This window comes from Homo sapiens, chromosome 6, assembly GCF_000001405.40.
Source record: "Homo sapiens chromosome 6, GRCh38.p14 Primary Assembly".
NCBI classification, from domain to species: domain Eukaryota; kingdom Metazoa; phylum Chordata; class Mammalia; order Primates; family Hominidae; genus Homo; species Homo sapiens.
The window spans coordinates 66,245,557-66,268,666 of NC_000006.12; the positions used below are offsets into that span (position 1 = coordinate 66,245,557).

At 36.1% G+C, this 23,110-nt stretch overlaps 2 annotated features.

Annotated features, from left to right (window-relative positions):
* Window positions 7,906-8,075: an enhancer, noted in NCBI's record as "experimental_94052 CRE fragment used in MPRA reporter constructs". NCBI's record gives its function as "activates a minimal promoter by MPRAs in K562 erythroleukemia cells, with activity observed for the non-introgressed 6:66963440 or rs208536 variant allele {active_cell/tissue: K562}" and the evidence as "EXISTENCE:reporter gene assay evidence [ECO:0000049][PMID:34662402]".
* Window position 7,991: a transcriptional cis regulatory region, noted in NCBI's record as "Neanderthal adaptively introgressed variant 6:66963440 (GRCh37/hg19 assembly coordinates) or rs208536 in the experimental_94052 CRE". NCBI's record gives its function as "modulates activity of the experimental_94052 enhancer by MPRAs in K562 erythroleukemia cells {active_cell/tissue: K562}" and the evidence as "EXISTENCE:reporter gene assay evidence [ECO:0000049][PMID:34662402]".

The window sequence follows — 23,110 nt, forward strand, 5'->3', positions numbered from 1 at the left end:
AAAATTGAAGAAATAACCTCCACAAAGTCTCAATATTCCCTACTGTTAGACTTTCTATCTGGAATAATATCTGGCCTTCTCGGTTTACACATGCAATCAAAAGTAGGAGATACTTGTTTTACTAAGGTGGGCAAAAAGGTATGCTCAATGGACTAGATATTGTTTTCATTGTGAAGTTTAAGCATCCATTATGGAACTTCTAAAGGTGCTATGTCTTCTTTTCAGTCTTTTCTACAATATATTCTCTATTCAAGGCTCAAGATTATTCCCAGAAGCATTAATGAGACAGAATATGAGTGTTCATTTGTAAGAAACAGTCATGCAAAAAAAGCAAAATTTTTAGTTTTGGAGGAAAAATGCAATTTGATTATGTGCTTATGTTTTCAGTATTCATTCTTCACTTTTATTTTTTTATTTTTTATTTATTTTTTTAATTTGAGACGGAGTTGCACTCTGTTGCCCAGGATGGAGTGCAGTGGCATGATCTCGGGTCACTGAAACCTCTACCTCCCAGGTTCAAGTAATTCTCCTGCCTCAGCCTCCTGAGTAGCTGAGATTATAGGTGTGTACCACCACGCCTGGCTAAGTTTCGTATTTTTAGTAGAGACGGGGGTTTCACCATACTGGCTAGGCTGGTCTCGAACTCCTGACCTTGTGATCCACCCACCTCGGCCTCCCAAAGTGCTGGGATTATAGGCATGAGCCACCGCGCCCAACCATTCACTTTTATTATCTGTATAGTTATTGAAAAGGTAATTTAAAGAATAATTCTAGAGAGTCCATTTTTTCACCAGCTAGTCATTCAAGCAAAACAAACATTGTTCATTAGATTAGCAAAATGAATTATTCAGTATATACATTGACACCAAAGGAAGAAAGGTATACTGATCTTAAATGTGCTCTCACATTTCCTTCATGCTACAATATATAATATAATGTAATGGCTTATTATTCTATAAAAAGCAATTCAGGTCAATGCCTATTTGCTTTATCCAAAACTGTCACCTTTTGGAACAAAATATAACTTTATATTTTTATCTGCTGCAAATATACTCAATTTTATTTTAAAATGTCTACTAAGAATTATAGCAAAAAAATCACATATACTTTCCTCACAAACAAAGATCAATTGTGACTAAAACTTCTGGGTAATTAATACTTGACACATATAGAGTGGCAATGAGCTGACAGATTAGTAGCATAGATATTCCCAATAACTATTCAATTTAAAGTATCTAAATTTACCTGAAGGCAATCTCTCAATTTAAGAATACTGGACTTATTATTAAAAATATAAATCATATAATTGTTATGCTCTGTACCATGGCATGTATTTGTATATCATAAATCTTATTTTATTTGCCTTTTTTAATGAAGAATATTTGCTCTCAGTTCTTTAAAAAGTCATAATAAATAAAAATTTGTGTGCAAAATGACCTTCTATAAAATAGCATGGAAAGTGAATGGCTTATTGATGTTCTTATCAGATATACCTGCATTTTCCTCTATTTCCTAATTACATAGGAATAACTTAATATTAAAATATAATGAAAGTACATTAAAATTAAATATAAAGTAGTGCATACTACAAGTAATTATGTAAAGGTTATGTTGTTTAGTATATCCAGTAAAAGTGTTCTTGAAACATTATGGAAAAATAAAGACTTTCCAATACAAACAAAAGCTGAGGCATTTTATCAACACTAGTCCTCTACTACAAGAATTGCTAACAGGAATTCTTTCATCTGAAATAAAAGAAATTTAATGAGGAAATGAGCAATCATCTGAAGGTACAAAACTCAATGGTCATAGTAAGTCTAGAGAAAAAGACAGAATATTATAAACTACTCATATCTTGAGGGGAAAAACTAAAATATGAAGTGATCAAAATAAAAGCTATACCAACTTTTCATGACACAAACAGTACAATAAGGTAAAAATAGAAACCACAAACTTAAAATGCGGGAGGATAAAGTTAAAGTGCAGAGTTGTTATTAGTATTCTCTTTGCTTGTTTGCTAGGTTGTGTGTGGATGCAATCACTGTTAAGTTGTCATAAGTTTAAAATGGTGGGTTTTAAGATATTATTCATAAGCCTCATGGTAACATCAAATCAAAAAACATACAACAGATATCTAAAAAGTAAAAAGCAACAAATGAAAACATACCACCAGAGAAAATCACCTTCACTAAAAGAAAGACAGAAAGGAAAAAATAGGAATAGAAGACCACCAAACAACCAGAAAACAAATGAAATGACAGGAGTAAGTCCTTACTTATCAATTATACTTATAATATTGACTGTAAATGGATTAAAACTCTCCAACTGAAAGACAGAGTGGTCGAATGGATTTTGAAAGCAAGATGCAATGATCTATTGCCTACAATTGCCACACTTCACCAATAAAGACTCATTGAAATTGAAAATAAAAGGATGAAAAAATAAATTCCACGTAAATGGAAACAAAAAAGAGAGCAGGATTAGCTATACTTATATCACACTAAATAGATACTAAAACAGAAAGTATCAAAAGATCATCAAAATTGATAGACCACTAGCAAGACTAATAAAGAAGAAAAAAGAATCAAATAGATGCAATAAAAAATGATAAAGGGGATATCACCACCGATCCCCCAGAAATACAAGCTACCATCAGAGAATACTATAAACACCTCTACACAAAATAAACTAGAAAATCTGGAAGAAATGGATAAATTCCTGGACACATACACCCTCCCAAGACTAAACCGGGACAAAGTTGAATTGCTGAATAAACCAATAACAGGCTCTGAAACTGAGGCAATAAGTAATAGCCTACCAACCAAAAAAAGTCCAGGACCATATGGATTCACAGCCAAATTCTACCAGAGGTACAAAGAGTAGCTGGTACCATTCCTTCTAAAACTATTCCAATCAATAGAAAAAGAGGGAATCCTCACTAACTCATTTTAAGATGTCAGCATCATCCTGATACCAAAGCCTGGCAGAGACTCCACAAAAAAAGAGAATTTTAGACCAATATCCCTGATGATTGTCGATGCGAAAATCCTCAATAAAATACTGGCAAACCAAATCCAGCAGCACATCAAAAAGCTTATCCACCACTATCAAGTTGGCTTCATCCCTGGGATGCAAGGCTAGTTCAACACACCCAAATCAATAAATGTAATCCATCACATAAACAGAACCAACGACATAAACCACATGATTATCTCAATAGATGCAGAAAAGACCTTCAACGAAATTCAACAGCCCTTCATGCTAAAAACTGTAAACAAACTAGGTATTGATGGAATGTATCTTAAAATAATAAGAGCTGTTTATGACTAACCCACAGCCAATATCATACTGAATGGGCAAAAACTAGAAGCATTCCCTTTGAAAACTGGCACAACACAGGGATACCCTCTCTCACCACTCCTATTCATCATAGTGCTGGAAGTTCTGGCCAAGGCAATCAGGCAAGAGAAAGAAGTAAAGGGTATTAAATTAGGAAAAGAGGAAGTCAAATTGTCCCTGTTTGCAGATGACATGATTGTATATTTAGAAAACCCCATCATCTCAGCCCCAAATCTCCTTAAGCTGATAAGTGACTTCAATGAAGTCTCAGGAAACAAAAATCAATGTGCAAAAATGACAAGCATTCCTATACACCAACAACAGACCAACAAAGAGCCAAATCATGAGTGAACTCCCATTCACAATTGCTACAAAGACAATAAAATACCTAGGAATCCAACTTACAAGGGATGTGAAGGAGAACTACAAACCACTGCTCAACGAAATAAAAGAGGACACAAACAAATGGAAGAACATTCCATGCTTATGGATAGGAAGAATCAGTATCGTGAAAATGGTCATACTGCCCAAGGTAGTTTATAGATTCAATGCTGTCCCCATCAAGCTACCAATGACTTTCTTCACAATATTGGAAAAAACTACTTTAAACTTAATATGGAACCAAAAAAGAGCCCGCATTGCCAGGACAATCCTAAGCAAAAAGAACAAAGCTGGAGGCTCACACTACCTGACTTCAAACTATACTACAAGTCTACAGTAACCAAAACAGCATGACACTGTTACCAAAACAGAGAGATAGACCAATGGAACAGAACAGAGGCCTCAGAAATAACACCACACATCTACAACCATCTGATCTTTGACAAATCTGACAAAAACAAGAAATGGGGAAAGGATTCCCTATTTAATAAATGGTGCTGGGAAAACTGCCTGGTAATATGTAGAAAGCTGAAACAGGATCCTTTCCTTACATCTTACACAAAAATTAATTCAAGATGGATTAAAGACTTAAATGTTAGACCAAAAATCATAAAAACCCTAGAAAAAAACATGGGCAATACCATTCAGCACATAGGCATGGGAAAGGACTTCATGACTAAAACACCAAAAGCAATGACAACAAAAGCCAAAATAGACAAATGGGATATAATTAAACTATAGAGCTTCTGCACAGCTAAAGAAACTATCATCAGAGTGAACAGGCAACCTACAGAATGGGAGAAAGTTTTTGCAATCTACCCATCTGACAAAGGGCTAATATCCAGAATCTACAAAGAACTTAAACAAATTTACAAGAAAAAACAAACAACCCCATCAAAAAGTGGGCAAAGGATATGAACAGATACTTCTCAAAAGAAGACATGTATGCAGCCAACAGACACATGAAAAAATGCTCATCATCATTGGTCATCAGAGAAATGCAAATCAAAACCACAGTGAGATACCATCTCACACCAGTTAGAATGGCGATCATTAAAAAGTCAGGAAACAACATGCTGGAGAGGATGTGGAGAAATAGGAACAGTTTTACACTGTTGGTGAGAGTGTAATCTAGTTCAACCATTGTGGAAGACAGTGTGGTGATTCCTGAAGGTTCTAGAACTAGAAATACCATTTGACCCAGTGATCTCATTACTGGGTATTTACCGAAAGGATTTTAAATAATGCTTCTATAAAGATACATGTACATGTATGTTTATTGTGGCACTATTCACAATAGCAAAAACTTGGACCCAACCCAAATGTCCATCAATGATAGCCTGGATTAAGAAAATGTGGCATATATACACCATGGAATACTATGCAGTCATAAAAAGGATAAGTTCATGTCCTTTGCAGGGACATGGATGAAACAGGAAATCATCATTCTCAGCAAACTATCACAAGGATAGAAAACCAAACACTGCATGTTTTCACTCACAGGTGGGAATTGAACAATGAGAACACTTGGACACAGGGCAGGGAACATCACACATAGGGTGGGGGGCAGGGGGAGGGATAGCATTAGGAGAAATACTTAATGTAAAGGACCAGTTAATGGGTGCAGCAAACCAACATGGCACATGTATACCTATGTAACAAACCTGCACGTTGTGCACATGTGCTCTAGAATTTAAAGTATAATTAAAAAAAAGAGAGAGACATAAATGTCATTATATAATGATAAAGCAATCACTTTAGCAAGAGGTTATAACAATTATAAATATATATATATATGCACTCAACACTGGAGCAAACAAATGTTTAAAGCAAATATTACTAGAGCTTAAGAGGGAGAAATAACCCAAAACGACAATAGCTGGACTCTTTGACAGACCACTTTTAACATCGGACAGATAATCTGGAGAGGAAATCAATGAAGAAACAAAGAACTTAGTCTATGCTATAGACCAAATAGACCTAACACGATATTTATAAAACATTTTATCCAACAGCTGCAGAATACACATTCCTTTTCTCAACATAAGAATTGCTATCAACAATAGACCATATATTAGGACATAAAACAAGTCTTCAAAAATTCAAATATTTTGAAATCATATCAAATGTCATCTCTCCCCACAATGAAATAAAACTCAAAATTAATGACAATAGAAACTTTGAAAAATATAAAAATACAAGTAAATTAAACAATATACTCTTGAATGTCCATTGGATCAAAAATTATGATGGAAATTTTAAAAAAATAATGAAACAAATGATAATGGAAACAACATACCAAAATCTGTGGGACACAGCAAAAGGAGTATTAAGAGATAAATTTATAGCTATAAATGCCTACATACAAAAGAGATAAACTTCAAATATACAACCTATGGATATATCTTAAAGAACTAGAAAAGCAAGAGCAAACCAAACCTAAAATTAGTAGAAAAAAATTTAAAAATTAGAGCAGAAATAAATGAAATTGAAATGAAGAAAGCAATATAAAAGATCAACAATACAAAAAGTTGGTTTTATGAAAAGATAAACAAAATCAACAAAGGTTTAGCAAACTAAGAAAAAAAAGAAAGATAAATAAAATCAAAGAAAAAGAAGACATTGCAACTGAAACTGCAGAAATTCAAGGGATCATTAAAAGCTACTATCAGCAATTGTATGTCAATAAATTGAAAAACTTAGAAGAAATAGATGCATTCCTAGACACATACAACCTACCAAGATTGAACTATGAGGAAATCTAAAACCTGAATAGACAATAACATATAAAAATTCAAAACCATAGTAAAGTCTCCCAACAATAAAAAAAAAAACCCAGTACCAATAGCTTCACCACTGAATTTTAACAAACATTTAAAGAAGAACTAATACCAATCCCATTCAGACTCTCTAAAAAATAGAAGAGGAGGGAATACATCCAAACTCATTCTATGATGCCTGTATTAGTCCATTTACATGCTGCTGATAAAGACATACCCAAGCATGGCAATTTACAAAAAAAGAGGTTTAATGGACTTACAGTTTCACATGGCTGGGGAGGCTTCACAATCATCACAGAAGGCAAGGAGGAGGAAGTCACATCTAATGTGGATGGCGGCAGGCCAAGAGAGAGCTTGTGCAGGGAAACTCCCATTTTTAAAATAATCAGATCTACTGAGACTCATTCACTATCATGAGAACAGTGCAGGAAAGATCTGTCCCCATAATTCAATCACCTCTCACTGGGTTTCTCCCACAACATATGGGCATTGTGGGAATCACAATTCAAGATGAGATTTGGATGGGAACACAACCAAATCAAAGTCTTAACTCATTTCAGCATTAACTCAAAAGTTCATAGTCCAATGTCTCATCTGAGACAAGGCAAGTCCCTTCTGCCTATGAGCCTGTAAAATCAAAAGCAAGCTAGTTACTTCCTAGATTCAATGGGGGTACAGGCATTGGGTAAATACAGCCATTCCAAATGGGAGAAATTAAAAACAAGGGGCCTACAGGCCCCATGCAAGTGTAAAATCCAGTGGGGAAGTCAAATCTTAAAGCTTCAAAATGATCTCCTTTAACTCCATGTCTAACATTTGGGTGATGCTGATGTAAGAGGTGGGTTCCTATGCTCTTGGTCATCTTTGCCCCTGTGGCATTGCAGAGTACAGCCTCCCTCCTGGCTGCTTTCATGGGCTGGCGTTGAGTGTCTGTGGCTTCTCCAGGTGCACAGTGCATGCTGTCAGTGAATCTTCCATGCTGGAGTGTGGAGGACAGTGGCCCTCTTCTCACAGCTCCACTAGGTGGTGCCCCAGTAGGCACTCTGTGTGGGGGCTCTCACCCCATATTTCCCTTCCACACTGCCCTAGCAAAGGTTCTCTATGAGAGCACTGTGCCTACAGTAAACTTATGCCTGGACATCCAGGTGTTTCTATACATCTTCTGAAATCCTGGTGGTGATTTCCAAAACTCAACTGTTGACTTCTGTGCACTCACAGGCTCAACACCACATGGAAGCTGCCAACGTTTGAGGCTTGCACCCTCTGAAGCCATGGCCCAAGCTCTATCTTGCCTCTTTCAGTCATCGCTGGTGTGGCTGGAAGCAAGGAACTAAGTCCCTATGCTGCATACAGCACGGGGACGCTGGGCCCAGTGCACAAAACCACTTTTTCCTCCTAGGCCTCTGGATCTGTGTTTGGAGGGGCTGCCATGAAGACCTCTGATGTCTGATGTGCCCTGGAGATATTTCTCCCATTGTCTTGGGGATTAATATTTGGCTTATCATTACGTATGCAAATGTGTGCAGCTGCCAGATATCCTAAATCATCTTTCTCAAATTCAAAGTTCCACAAACTTCTAGGACAGATGCAAAATACTGCCAGTCTCTTTGCTAAGTATAACAATAGTCACCTTGCTCCAGTTCTCAACAAGTTCCTCATCTTCATCTGAGACTACCTCCTCCTGGATCTCATTGCCCATATCATTATCAGCATTTGGGTCAAAGCCATTCAAGAAGTCTCTAGTTAGTTCCAAACTTTTCCATGACTTTCTGTCTTCTTCTGGGCCCTCCAAATTGTTTCAACTTCTGCCTGTTACCCAGTTGTGAAGTCACTTCCACATTTTCAGTTATTTTTTCTGCAGTGCCCCACTCTATTGGTACCAATTTATTCAATTAGTCCATTTCATGCTGCTGATAAAGACATACCCAAGACTGGGTAATTTAAAAAAGAAAGGGGTTTAAGAGACTTACAATTCTACATGACTGGGGAGGCCTCACAATTATGGTGGAAGGCAAGGAGGAGAAAGTCACATTTTACATGGATGGCAGCAGGGAAAGAGAGAGCTTGCGGAGGGAAACTCCCATTTTTAAAACCATCGTATCTCCTGAGACTCATTCACTAACAGGGGAACAGTGCAGGAAAGACCCACCCCCATAATTCAGTCACTTCCCAATGGGCTTCTCCCATGAAACATGAGAATTATGGGAGTTAAATTCAAGATAAGCTTTGGGCAGTAACACACCCAAAACATATCAATACCAGTATTAACCTGATATCAAAACCAGACAGAGACACATAAAAACAAAACAACAAAAACTACAAGTCGATATCTCAGATGTACCTTGACACAAAAATTCTGAACAAAGTTCCAGCAAACAGAATTCATCAACACATTAGAAAAATCATTCATTATAACCATGTGGGATTTATCCATGGAATGCAAGGATAATTCAACAAATGCAAATTAATCAATGAGACAAATTATATCAAGAACAAACACCATATAATCATTTCAATTGATGCTGAAAAAGCATTTGTAAAACTCAACATCCCTTCATGTATAAAATGCTAAAAAAATTGTGGGTAGAAGGAACATACCTCTACACAATAAAGCCATATGTAACCAACCCACAGCTAGTATCATACAAAACAATAAAAAACTGAAAACTTTCCCTCTCAGATAGGCAAACACAACAAGGATGCCCACTTTCGTTGCTGTTGCTCAACATAATACTGGAAGTATTGCTAGAGCAATCACACTAGAGAAAGAAATATAGGTCATCTAAATTGGAAAGGAAGTTGTTAAATTATCCTTGTTTGCAGGTTATATAATTTTATTTTTGAAAAAATCTAAAGTCTCTATGAAAAAATATTATAAATGATAAATTTAGTAAAGTTGTAGGATACAAAATCAGCACCAAAGATCAGTAGCATTTCTATATGCCAACAGACTAGAATCTGAAAAGAAAATCAAGACAATAATCTCACATATGATACTCCAAACAAAATAAAATATCTAGGATTTAATTAACCAATGAAGAGAAAGATCTCTCTGATAAAAGTTTTAAAACATTAATGAAGGAAATTGAGGAGGACATAAAAAATAGGAAGATATTTTATGTTCATGGACTGGAGGAATATGTATTGTTAAAATGTCCATACTATGAAAAGTAGTCTGCACATTCAATGCAATCCTTATCAAAATAACCATTATATTATTCATAGAAATAGAAAAAAACCCTAAAATTTATGTGGAACCACAAAAGACCCAGAGATAGTCAAAGCTCTTCTGAGCAAAAAGGAAGAAAAAAAATGAAAGAATCACATTACCTGACTTCAAATTATACTATAGAGCTATAGTAACCAAAACAGCATGGTACTGGCCTAAAAACAGACACATAGACCAATGGAACAGAATAGAGAACCCAGTGACATATATATATATATATATGTGTGTGTATATATATATATATGTTATATTTTTATATAAATATATATATAAATTATATTTTTATATAAATATATATAAATTATATTTTTATATAAATATATATAAATTATATTTTTATATAAATATATATAAATTATATTTTATATAAATATATATAAATTATATTTTTATATAAATATATATATAAATTATATTTTTATATAAATATATATATAAATTATATTTTTATATAAATATATAAATTATATATATTTACATATATACAGTAAACTCATCTTTGACAATGGTGCTAAGAACATGCATTAGGGAAGGAACACTTTCTTCAATAAATGGTGCTGGGAAATCTGGATATTCATATGCAAAAGAATGAAGCTAGGCCCCTTTCTTTCACCATATGAAAAAAAAATCAAAATGAATTACAAAGATTTTAGTCTCAGACCTCAAGCTAACTAAAGGAAAACATTGGGGAAACTCTTCAGGACATTGAACTGGGCAACAGTTTCTTGAGTAATACCCCATGAGAACAGGTAACTGAAGCCAAAATGGACAAATGGGATCACATCAAGTTAAAAAGCCTCTGCATGACAAAGGAAACAATCCACACAGTGAAGTGATAACCCACAGATTGGAAGAAAATTGCAAACTATTCATCCAATATGAGATTAATAACCAGAATATATAAGGAGCTCAAAAAACTCAATGGGAAAAAAAATAATAATCTGATTTAAAAATAGGCAAAATATCTGAATAGGTATTTCTCAAAAGAAGACACACAAATGGCTAAAAGGTGTATGAAAAGGTGCTTAACATTATTCATCATCAGAGAAATGCAAATCAAAACCATAATGAGATATCATCCTACCCTAGTTGAAATGACTTTTATCCAAAATAGTGGTGATCCCAAATGCTATCAAGGTCACTGAGAAAAGGGAACACTCATACACGTTGATGATATAAATTATTACAGCCACTAGGGAGAACAGTTTGGAGGTTCATCAAAAAGCTAAATATAGAGCTACCATATGATTCAGCAATCAAACTGTTAGGTGTATACCCAAAGGAAAGGAAATCAGCATATAGAAGAGATATTTGCAGTCCCATGTTTATTGCAGTGCTGCTGTTCACAATAGCCAAGATCTGGAAGCAATAGACAGACAAACAAATAAAGAAAATGTGTTACATATGCACAAGGGAGTACAATTCAGCCATATAAATGAATGAGATCTTGTCATTTGCAACAATATGAATGGAATTGGAGATGATTATGTTAAGTGAATTTAGCCTGGCACAGAAACAAAAACTTTGCATGTTCTCACTTATTTGTGGGAGCTGCAAATTAAAACAATTGAACTCATGGAGATAAAGGGTAGAAGGGTGGTTACCAGAGGCTGGGAAGGGTTAGATGGGGTGGATGTGGGGATGGTTAATGGGTACAAAAATAAAATTAGAGAGAGTGAATAATCTCAAGCATTTGATAACACAGCAAGGTGACTACAGTGAACAATAATTTTTGTACATTTAAAAATAATTAAAATAGTATAATTGAATTCTTTGTAACATAACAAAAGAATAAATGCTTTAGGTGACAGATACCTCATTTACCCTGATATGGTTATTATGCATTTTGTTCCTGTATCAAAGTATTTAGGTACACATACACATACTATGCACCCACAAAAATTTAACATAAAAATATAATTTTCAATCCCATGTTTATGAAGACAAGCTTCCTAATTTTTTTCTAAATTTGAATTACTTTACATTCATATGTAGTTCTGGCATTACTCTCAAATAGATATCTTCTCAATTTTTTAAATGAAGGGAATGGCTATAGTACTATTTATTAAAATGACTATCTAAATCCACTAAATTCTGGTGGAACTGTTCAGTTAATTAAGGTAACTATCTTTGTGCTGCTATAGCAAAATACATGAGATTAGGTAAATTTTAAAGAACAGTATTTTGTTTTCTAACAGTTATGAAAGCTGGGAAGCCCAAGATCAAAGTGCCAGCAGGTTCAGTGTCTGGTGAAGCCCTGTTTCTCATAGATGGCACCTTGTAACTTACCTCATGTGGTAGAAAGGACAGAAAGTCAAAAGAATGCTAACACTTTGTTCTCACATGGCACAAAAGAGGAAGAGAGCAAACCCATTGCCTCAAGTCCTTTAACCAAGGGCTCTAATTTTATCCAGGAGGACTGCACTCTCATTACTTAATTACTCCCTACAGTACCCATTTCTTAAGACTTTCACATTGGCAATTAAGTGTCAAAGTATGAATTTTGAGAGACACATTCAGACCATAGCAGTAATCAGATATAAATGGGTCTATTTCAGCACCTTCTATCCTTTACTTTGGTAGTTTGCCTATCCATGCAACAACACCACACAGTCTATGGTACCGTCATGGACATCTTAACATAACTCAACATGTCAATTTATTACTATAGTATAGCTCTCAGTTTATTTACGTCTCCTTAAATATACCTCACTGTAAGAGTATACAATGCAGATGTCTTCAAAACTTTAATTATATGAAGTCATGTGTTTCATGTGATTTTTCTGCTATTTTCATTTTGCTAATTTGTTTTATTTTCTAATTTTTGACACTAATATATAAAAATACAATTACTTTTTATGTTGTATTTACCTCGGGCAAACTTGATACATTCACTTAGCAATTATGTTTTAAAATTTGAAAAATAATTTCTATGTACACAGTAATGCCACTTGCAAATAATAAAGGTTGTACTTTTTTCCAATCTTTAAATTTGATTGCAGTTTTTTTTTCATTTTTTATTCAATTGCTAAAATATCAAAACAATGTTGAATAGAAGTGGCAATATTGGAGATGTACTCTTCCTGATCTTTGGGAGACAATATTCAATATTTTATCATTAAATACAATGTTTTCTGTAGTTGGATTTTTTTTTAGGTGTTTGCTTCGTTGTGTTTTGAGATGGAGTCTCACTCTATTACCCAGGCTGGAGTGCAGTGGCCTGATCTCAGCTCACTGAAACCTCCACCTCCTGAGTTCAAGCAATTCTCCTGCCTCAGCCTCCCAAATCACTGAAATTACAGGGTCCTGCCACCAACCCTGGATAATTTTTGTAGTTTTAGTAGAGAGTTTAGTTTCACTGTTAGATATGAGTTCTAAATTTCTCTTCAAAGAATCAATATGTCAGTATGTTCAATTATTTGCCTTCTACTTGGCGATAAACTTAACTTCCTCGTAAAGCAATCTTTCAATTACCTTCTCTGCCCTGACTCATTCCAATTACCTACTCTACCCCAACTCATTCCAATTATCTGCTCCACCCTGACTCATTCCAATTACCTGCTCATTCTCCACCCTGACTCATTCAGATTTCCTGCTCTGCCATAAACATTTTTCCCACCAAACCACTCACCCCATCACTCTCTTTAAATTAGCCAATCAGAATTAGTTTAGCCTGTGCAGTCTAACCCTAGCCAATAGGGGAATGACACAGCAGCAGGAGCCACATGTGTCAGGGATAAGAACCTCTTCCCCTCCCTTGTCCAAGTGTGTGCTCACCATTGCTCCATATGCAAGGGCACATGCTTCTATAGAAGTACATTGCCTTGCGAGAATTACAAAGAAAATTTTATATTGGAGTGATATTTCTTTTGTGGCACCAAAACTTTATTTATAACAATTTGGGGGCTCATCCAGGATTACATTCCCCTCCGAGGGTGATCTCTGGTCCTCTCTTGCAAGCAGGCTTGCTCCGCCCCCTTGTGGCAGCCTCAGGGGTGAGAAATCAGGACCCACCCAGTGCAAGATATAACTTGAGCTCTCAGCAATGCAGAAAGAAACTCCCTAGCAACCTAGCTGCAGGAATGACTCTGTGCACAGATCAAGAAAGGAGAAGCCACGGGAGCTGGTAAAGTACTTCCTTGGTGGTCAAATTCTGGAGGGCTAAATGTGTGTGTGCGTGACTGATTACAAACAACCCTACTTGCAGTGTTGTTCGTGTGGATGATGACAAGTCCTACTGCTGGATGGAGGGAGTGGGTTCTCTCTGCGTTTCCATAGCTACCTCATATGGCTTAGGGCGTATCCTGCCATGGGATTTATACTGGCACGCTAACACTAAGAAGGGCCTAATTCTCCCCTGGGGGAGCAGCCAGAGAGTGGGAAGTGTGCAAGGGACCTTCAGAAGGGGAAAGGGAGGAAACAGGTCAACCTTACAGAGCAGCCCAAGGTGAGATATCCCTGGTTTGAGGGGTTGACCCTGCCAGGGCAGGCAAGGCAAGACATCCCTGGTTTGAGGGAGTAAGCCTTCCGGGGCAAGCAAGGCGAGACATCCCTGGTTTGAGGGATTGAGGCTTCTGCAAATTTCAGTGCGTCAAACCTCACACAAACCTCCAGTAGTAAGAAAAATACTCAGTACTCCCCTTTCCTTTTGTCTTGGGGGAAGACAGAGTAGCTCCACTCCCACCACCCCCTCCCCTAGGAGAAGGGGAAGGAGAGGGGAGAACACCAGCATAAGTGGCTGGCAGAGGCAGGGAAAGATCAGCAAAGAGGAAAGAGAAACTGAGAGAGGAAGTCAGAAAGAAAGAGAGAGAAAAAGTCAGAGAGTCGAAAAGAGAGAGAAAGAGGCAGAGAGAGAGAGAGAGAGAAAGAGACAGAAAGATAAAGAGGGAGTCAAAGATAGAAAAAGAAAGAGACAGAGAGTCAAAGAGAGAGAGAGGAAGAGAGGGAGAAAGAGAGACTTAGAAGTAGTAAAGAGAAAAGAGTGTATCCTATTTCTTTAAAAGCCAGGGTAAATTTAAAACCTATAATGAATAATTGAAGGTCTTCTCCATCACCTTATAACACTCCAATACCACCTTGTTGTCAGTGTAAACAAGGGCATAGCCCAAAAGAACTGAGACCACCGACAACCCGTAGCCTTCCTAATCAAAAATCCTTAAAGCGGTAATCCACGGTTGGCCCAAATGCATTCAATCTGTAGCAGCAACTGCTTTGCTAACAGAAGAAAGTAGAAAAATAACTTTTAGAGGAAACCTCATTGTGAGCACACCTCATCAGGTCAGAACTATCCTAAGTGAAAAAAAAAAAAAAAAGCAAAAATGTAGCTTATTGACTCAAGAACCTTAAAGTACTTAAAGTGTAAGATGATTCTGTTAGAAAAAGATGATTTAACATTAACCACTGAAAATTCCCTTAACCCAGCAGGTTTCCTAACAGAGGATTTAAATCTTAATTACCATACAAAGGTCCGACCAGACCTAGGAGGAACTCACTTCAGGACAGGACAATAGATGGTTCCTCCCAGTTGATTGAGAGAAAAAGACACAAGGGTATTCAGTAAGTGATAAGGAAACTCTTGTAGAAGCATTGTTAGGAAAATTGCCTAATAATTGGTCTGCTCAAATGTGCAAGCTGTTTGCACTCAGCCAAGCCTTAAAGTACTTACAGAATCAGGAAAAAGCCATCTATACTAATTCTAAGTTAATATGGACTGAACTAGGTCTTATTAATAGCAAAGAATAATTGAAATCCCCAACTTAAAATTTTTCAACAAAAGTAAAGTTTGCTAAAAGTTAGCAGTGTAACATGTATTATCCTAACTTCTAATCTTGTGGCCTTAGACAGCCTAGTCCACAGACATGAAGGAAGTTCGCTTTGGAAAAGAATGATTATCATTTAAAAAAAAAATAAAAAAGAAGCAGGGGGAGAATTTATGTAAAAATGAATGTTACATGGGAAGTTCTTGCTCTAAAATAAATTAACTGGTTGTTTAAAGAGAGAGATGTTTGCAACAAGTCAGAAAGTTGAGGCATGTCAAAGAATTGTCTGTAAAAGTCATGAAAAAAGTTATAAAAGGGAATTTATGCAAGAAATGTTGTATAATTTAAAAGTATTTAGGCCGCCTGAATGTAAAACTATTCAAGAAACAGTTTATGTGCAAGGTGTATAAGGAAAGTAAAATATACCTTTTGTAAAAGGATTATAAGGAGGCATAAGAATGTGGATTTTTACCTACATTAAAAGGTTAAAAAATATTTTGTTTTAAAGGTTTAAGCAATTTTGAAATGTTAATTGTAAAGGAAATTCTGTGTGTAAACATATTAGCTGAAGTTAAAGTGGTATAATCCAGTCTTTCTGTGAACTGGATATTAAAATAAAAGCACAACAGTTTTTTCTCAAAGCACTAACCTGCTCTTTAACAGAAACTATAAAAGGTTAAAAAGAGTCTATAAAAATCTTACCTTATGGTCAGACATTAAAAATTGAATAAATATGTCTACAAGGTTTTATTAAAATTAAGTTTAACATTAATAACACACTAATATAAAGGTGAAATTTAGCTTATCTGGTATAAAAATCATACAGGAAACATTGTCAAATATAAAATGGTATTTGGCTTTTCATGGTCTAAAAACTAATAAAAATAGGTGCTAAAGGAAATTTCTTAGTAAGAAGGCACCAAGGACTGTAAAGTCCACTGCTGATGTTCCCACATTTAAAACAAAGGTCAGTTTCTTAGAAATTATATACTTGGTTTATCTTCCACTTTCCTTTCCCTCAAAACTAAGTCTTTTAGCACAGGTACCACCTACAGAAATTCTGGTAAACCAGCACCAGCCTGAGGTTCACGTTCTCATCAAAGGGTGGAAAGAAGGAAAACTCAAGTCAGCCTGGGAAGGACCCTACCTTGTGCTGCTAACCACTGAGACTGCTGTTCGTATAGTGAAAAGGGGATGGATTCATCACACCCGGGTCAAGAACGTGCCACTCCCTGCAGAATTGCGGGCCATAGTCCCAGGGGAAAACCCTACCAAACTAAAGCTAGAAAAATTTAACTCTCTTTCATCTATTCTATTACTCTTTCTTCTTTCCTCACTCTATTGCTGACCATCTAGTTATTTACATAACCAAATCAATTTTGCCTCAAACTATTGCATTTAATGCTTGCCTTGTTATACCCTGTGGGGATTTGCCAAGTCAAAGATGGCTCTCTACTTCAGAAAAGTACCTCTGTCCTTCCTGACTTTCCTCAGACTGGGCATTAGTGAATTGGGACCATTTAACCCAGGGAGATTTCAATAAAGACCACAGTGTTAACCAGGAGTCTTGCTCCCCCATGTAGAGCTTTTATGCCATAGTTGGTCCAACATTCTGTGGACCACTAACGAGCAAGGATGGACTTCCCCAACTGGTTTTTGTAATTTCCTAAAACCATACATTCATTTTACTAGAGGGACAGCCCCCCCGCTCCACCAACTGTCAGCTAAACCAGTGTAATCCTATACAGGTTATTATCTCAAGCCCTCAAAGTTCTTCCCATTTTCTAAGTCAGTTCCCTTCTTTAAGCCAGTTTTATGGTATGGGGGCTGAGGTTTCAAGGACAGACCCTGTTGGATTCTTTGAAATGCATTTCTTTGATCCCTCACCGCCTGCCCCTTCTTCTAAGCCTTCTTCCAAAACCTCTCACAATGGAACAATTGCTCCTCCTCCATCTAATGACAAGACCAAGATAGCTATCATAGAAGTTAAAGACTTAAAACAAACTTTGGTAATTAAGACAGGATACCAGTATGCAAATGCCTGGTTGGAATGGATCAAATATTCCATCCACATGTTAAACCAAAGCAATTGTTATGCTTGTGCACATAGCAGGCCAGAGGCCCAGATTGTCCTCTTTCCACTAGGGTGGTTCTCCAGTCGACTGGGCCTGGGCTGCATGGTAGCTGTTTTCCAGGATTCTACAGCCTGGAGTAATAAGTTGTGCCACACTCTCTGTCTGCTATATCCTGAAGTCCAGCACCCTGTGGGTCAGCCCCCGAGGGTCATCCAGCTTCTGTTTCCCAATACTAAGTTCACATTGTGTCTCCCATGACAGGGAGGAAATTTAGTGTTCCTTGGAGACCTGAAGGGATGCAGTGAGCTTAAGAATTTTCAAGAGCTTATCAATCAGTCAGCCCTTGTTCATCTGTGAGCAGATGTGTGGTAGTATTGTGGTGGACCATTACTGGACACTCTGCTGAATAACTGGAGTGGCACTAGTGCTTTAGACTAATTGGCTATCCCTTTCACCCTAGCATTTCATCAACCAGAGGAATGAAAAATAAGACATCATAAAGTGAGAGAAGTACCTTACAGGTCTTTTGACTCTCACGTGTATTTAAACGCAATTGGAGTCCCATGGGGAATACCAAATCACTTTACAGGCCAAAATCAAATAGCTGCAGGATTTGAGTCAATATTTTGGTGGTGACAATTAATAAAAATGTAGATTGGATAAACTACATCTATTACAACCAACAGCGATTTATTAACTACACTGGAGATGCTGTTAAAGGAATAGCTGAGCAATTAGGGGCTACTACCCAGATGGCTTGGGAAAACAGAATAGCCTTAGACATGATATTAGCAGAAAGAGGAGGAGTTTGTGTCATGATTAAAACTGAATGTTGCACCTTCATCCCAAACAACACTGCCCCTAATGGATGTATAACAAAGGCATTGCAAGGTCTGACTGCTCTGTTCAATGAGTTAGCCAGCAACTCAGGGATAAATGACCCCTTTACAAAATGGCTAGAAAAGTGGTTGGGTAAATGGAAAGAATATTAGCCTCAATTCTTACTTCCCTCACAGCTGTAATGGGTGTACTTTTTCTTGTCAGGTGCTGTGTCACACCATGCATCTGTGGGTTGGTGCAGAGGCTTATAAAAATGGCACTTACTAAAACCTCCCTTAACTATCTTCCACCTTATCCTGAGAAGCTTCTTCTTTTGGAAAATCAAGCAGAACAGCTAAGCAAAGACATGTTAAAAAGTTTGAAAAGAAAGAGCTGTAAGGAAATGCAAGAGGAGGGGTTGTTAGATACGAATTCTAAATTTCTTTTCAAAGAATCAACATGCCAGTACGTTCAATTCGTTACCTTCTACTTTTAAACTTAACTTCCTCTAAAGCAACCTTTTTCAATTACCTGCTCCACCCTGACACATTCCGATTATCTGCTCCACTCTGACTCATTCTGATCACCTACTCCACCCTGACTCATTCCTAATAACTGCTCTGTCATAACCATTTTTCCCTCCAAACCATTCACCCTGTCACTCTCTTTAAATTAGCCAATAGGAATTATTTTAGCCTGTGCAGTCTAACCCTAGCCAATAGCAGAATGACACAGCAGCAGGGGTCACGTGCATCAGGGATAAGAACCCCTTCCCCTCCCTTGTCCAAGTGTGCACTCACCATTGCTCCATTTGTAAGGGCTCACCCTTCTATAGAAGGAGCTTGCCTTGCTGATAATTGAAAAGGAAATTTTATATTCTACTGCTATTTCTTTTGCAGCACCAAAACTTTATTTATAATGTTATTGTATTTTGAATGTCTATCATATCTGTAATAATATCTCCTTTTCACTGATGATATTTTACACTGTGTTTTATTTTATTATTTTATTTTCAGAGAATCAACTTTTGACTTTGTTGTTTTTCTCTTATATCATCAAGAGCACTGTTGGAAGTGGCATCATCTGCACATCAGCTTTTGATGACCTTGATTTCTGCTCTTAGCTTTAGGGATTCTTTCTTTCTACTTTATTTGGACTTAATTTGCTGTTTTTTATATCTTTTCTCAGGGCACCCCAGAGCACTAATTTTAAAGGTCCTTATTTTATAACTTAATGAAATAAATTTGCCATCAAATACTACTTTTCCTGCATCACACAGGTTCTGATAAGTCATATTTCCACTATCATCCAGTTCAAAATACTTCATAATTTTTACTTAATTTTTTTGAGCAATGGGTTACACAGGAATGTGTCATTTAATTTCCAAACATCCAGGATTGATTTATATTGAATTTCACTGTGATCAGAGATCTTTCATGGTTTCAGTCCCTTGGAATTTGTTAGGTTTTGTTTTCAGCTCAACATATAGTCATTTTGTTCCATATGTATTTTTTTAAATGTGTATTTTGCAGTTGTTAGTCTTCTATAGCATAAATCTGTTGATTATGCTGTAGGATATCTGTATATACTCTTACTTATTGTTTAATTGCTTGCCATAGCTGTTAAAATTTCCAAATATGCCTGTGGATTCATCTATTTTTCTCTCTTTTATTCCTGTAACTATTTGCTTTATATATATTCAGCACTGTTAGTAGTTGTATAAAATTCTAAAATATCATGTTTTTCTATTGAATTCAACTTTTTATTAAATTAGATAAACTTCTTATCACTCTGAATAGTTCTTGGCTTACAGAATACTTTGCTTTTATTAATATGTCACATCTACTTCTTAAAGTGAGTTTTAAGTGATGCTTTTTTCAACTTTTTATTTTTAATCTATTTTGCCCTTAAAGTGTAACTTTAATTATCAGAATTTATTGAGTCTTATTTTTGTTTGAAGTCTTGGTTGACAATCTGTTTCTAATTCAGTGTACTTAATCTAATTTAATGTAATTGCTGGCATGGCTACATTAATATCTGTTATCTTGTTATATGTTTTCTAATTGTTTCAGCTGTTGTTAGTTATTTTCATTTTTTGTACTGTTTTGGGCATTAATTAAATCATTTTGAAATAACTTTTAACCTGTTTTCCTCCTTAGACACACTGCACTCCTCTCCCTCGTGGGGAGAAGCCTCAGGTTCTGCAAATTCTCCCAACCTTGCAAAGTTGTCCTTGCTGTAGCAAATAACGAGCCTCTTTCTTTTGTTTTTAGTCACTCCCGGGTGTCCAAACTATGCCAGTTCCAACAGTGCTCTTGGTGATACAAGACAGAAACCCATCTCTTTCAGCGTATTAAAATGCTGGGGACAATGGACACATGTCCCACTCTCTCTTGCCCAAAGCAGAAATTGCCATCCAAGATGCCCTCTTGTTATTTGAGATGTGTCCTCCCAAAAGTATCTTTTGGAAACTTAAAATTCAATGCAACAGCGTTTGGAGGTGGTGCCTAATAAGAAATTATTAGGCCATAAGGGCAAGGTGAATGAATTGATGCCATTATTGCCGGAGGGGGTTCATTATAAAAGATGGAGTTCAGCCCCCTTTTAATTCTCTCTCTGTTACTTTCTCTCTCCTTCTACCATGGATGATGCAACAGAAAGCCTCACCAGATACCACCCCCTTCTATCTTGAACTTCTCAGCCTCCGTAACTGTGAGAAATAAATTTCTGTTTACTATAAATTACTCAATCTGTGGCATTCTGTTATAGCAGCACAAAATGGATTAAGACATCTCTCCTGGTACTTATGCTTTCTTGGAGGAGGAGGTAATATGGGTAAGTAAAAATTGATCTTGGTACCTATTTCAATGCTATGTTCTTGGTTTTATATTTTTCTGCACTACTATAATGTTTTAAATAGATTCTGGAGTTCCCATAAAGGTATTTTGGTCTGTATTCCATTCTAAAATCAATATTATTGTTCAGGAAACAAGAGCTTGAACTTCACATTTTCCCATCTTGCTGATGTCACTCACATTTGTAATTTTAATTTAAAATGTTGTGTGTATATATATGCACATGTAGTATATGTATGTATATGTATATATACACACATATATATGACATGAGCATATGTATGTGTGTGTATATATATGCACATGTAGTATATGTACATATATACATATATATGACATGAGCATATATATATGTGTGTGTGTATATGTATATACACACACACAAAATACTGTGTGTGAAACGATTTTTACAGAAATTTCAATACACACCCCTCATTGTGTCAGGAAGCAGGGAAACGTTTTGCTTTAGTATGACTTAGTTTATTTTTCGTTCATCACTAGTTGTGCTCCCTCTCAGGCTATTAATTAAGAATCTGGCCAGTTTTTCTCTTAAGACCTGAAATATTTCAGAATATTTAGTTGTACCGTCCAGTAATTTTCATGTTCATTCTTTATCCTATAAAACCCATATGGCTTCAACATCCGAATAACTTGAGAGGGTGACCAATACTGTGTTTTTTCAAAGCACCTTTTCTTAGCAGGATTTTGTTTTCCCAAAACAGGAGGCTACAGAACATTTCACTCTGACCTTTAAAAGCTTTAACCCAGGGTCTTCAGCCTTTCAAGCTGTAAACTTAGTAAATGCCCCACAAAGAAAACTGGCGGTGCCTGTGTGCTCTTCTGTGCATTAATACCTCATGCATTCCTGGACAAACATCAAAAGCACTGCTGGTTTGTCTTTTTCTTCAGTAGAGTTCTTCTGAATATTCTAAGCTCAGTCCTTAGCCTACATCTGAAATTGATGTATAATTATACAAAGAAAGTGACTAAAGATCATCAGTTCACCTGGGAAAGGCTGAAAGTTGTGTACAATTTTTGCCCATACATTTCTTCTTCCCTCCATACTAGTATGATGTTTTTCAAAATGTGGTTATTATAATTTATCTGTTTTATCCAGTTGTTTTAATAGAAGTGTTGGCTTCTCATGATAAGCTAATCCTCTCCAGAGACACAAATCTTCCACTAGTGAATTTTACATATTTTTATATAGTCTCAAGCTTAAGTCTATGGGTTGCATGTTATAGGGACCAATAAATATTCCATTAGAATGTTTAGGGATATTAAAACTGTAATCACTGATGATCCCACTGAAGTAATGTAACACTTAAATATTACCCTAAAAGACATATATGTAAGATATAATGAAATGTGAAATAAATTAAGAATAATTTCAAATATTTCTTCACAAATATGATCTAAAAATATTGAATTGGTGACATATAACAATTCACATGCATTGACTGAATACTATGTGTTAGGCATTAAATATTTATTTTAGAGAAATTATATCATTTTTGCTGCTGACAATGATGTAACTACATTGGATCTATGATGTAGTTAACATACTTGACATCAGAACAGTAGAAAATAAAGAATATAGAACTTAAATCCAGGTTTTGGCATTCCCAGTTTGGATTTTTAACCTCTAAGCTCTAATTTATTCTAAGACAAAGGCGTGGAATAGATTTTTTATTAGATCTTTCAGAGAGACCATGACCTTGCTGAAACCTTGATTTGGACCTCTAGGTTTCAGAACTATGAGATAATAATTTTCTGTTGTTTTAAGCTACCTAGTTTGTAATACTATGTAACAGCAGCCATAGAAAACTAGTAAAGATTTTTGCAATGGGAAGTGGGTTGCTGATGTAACAAA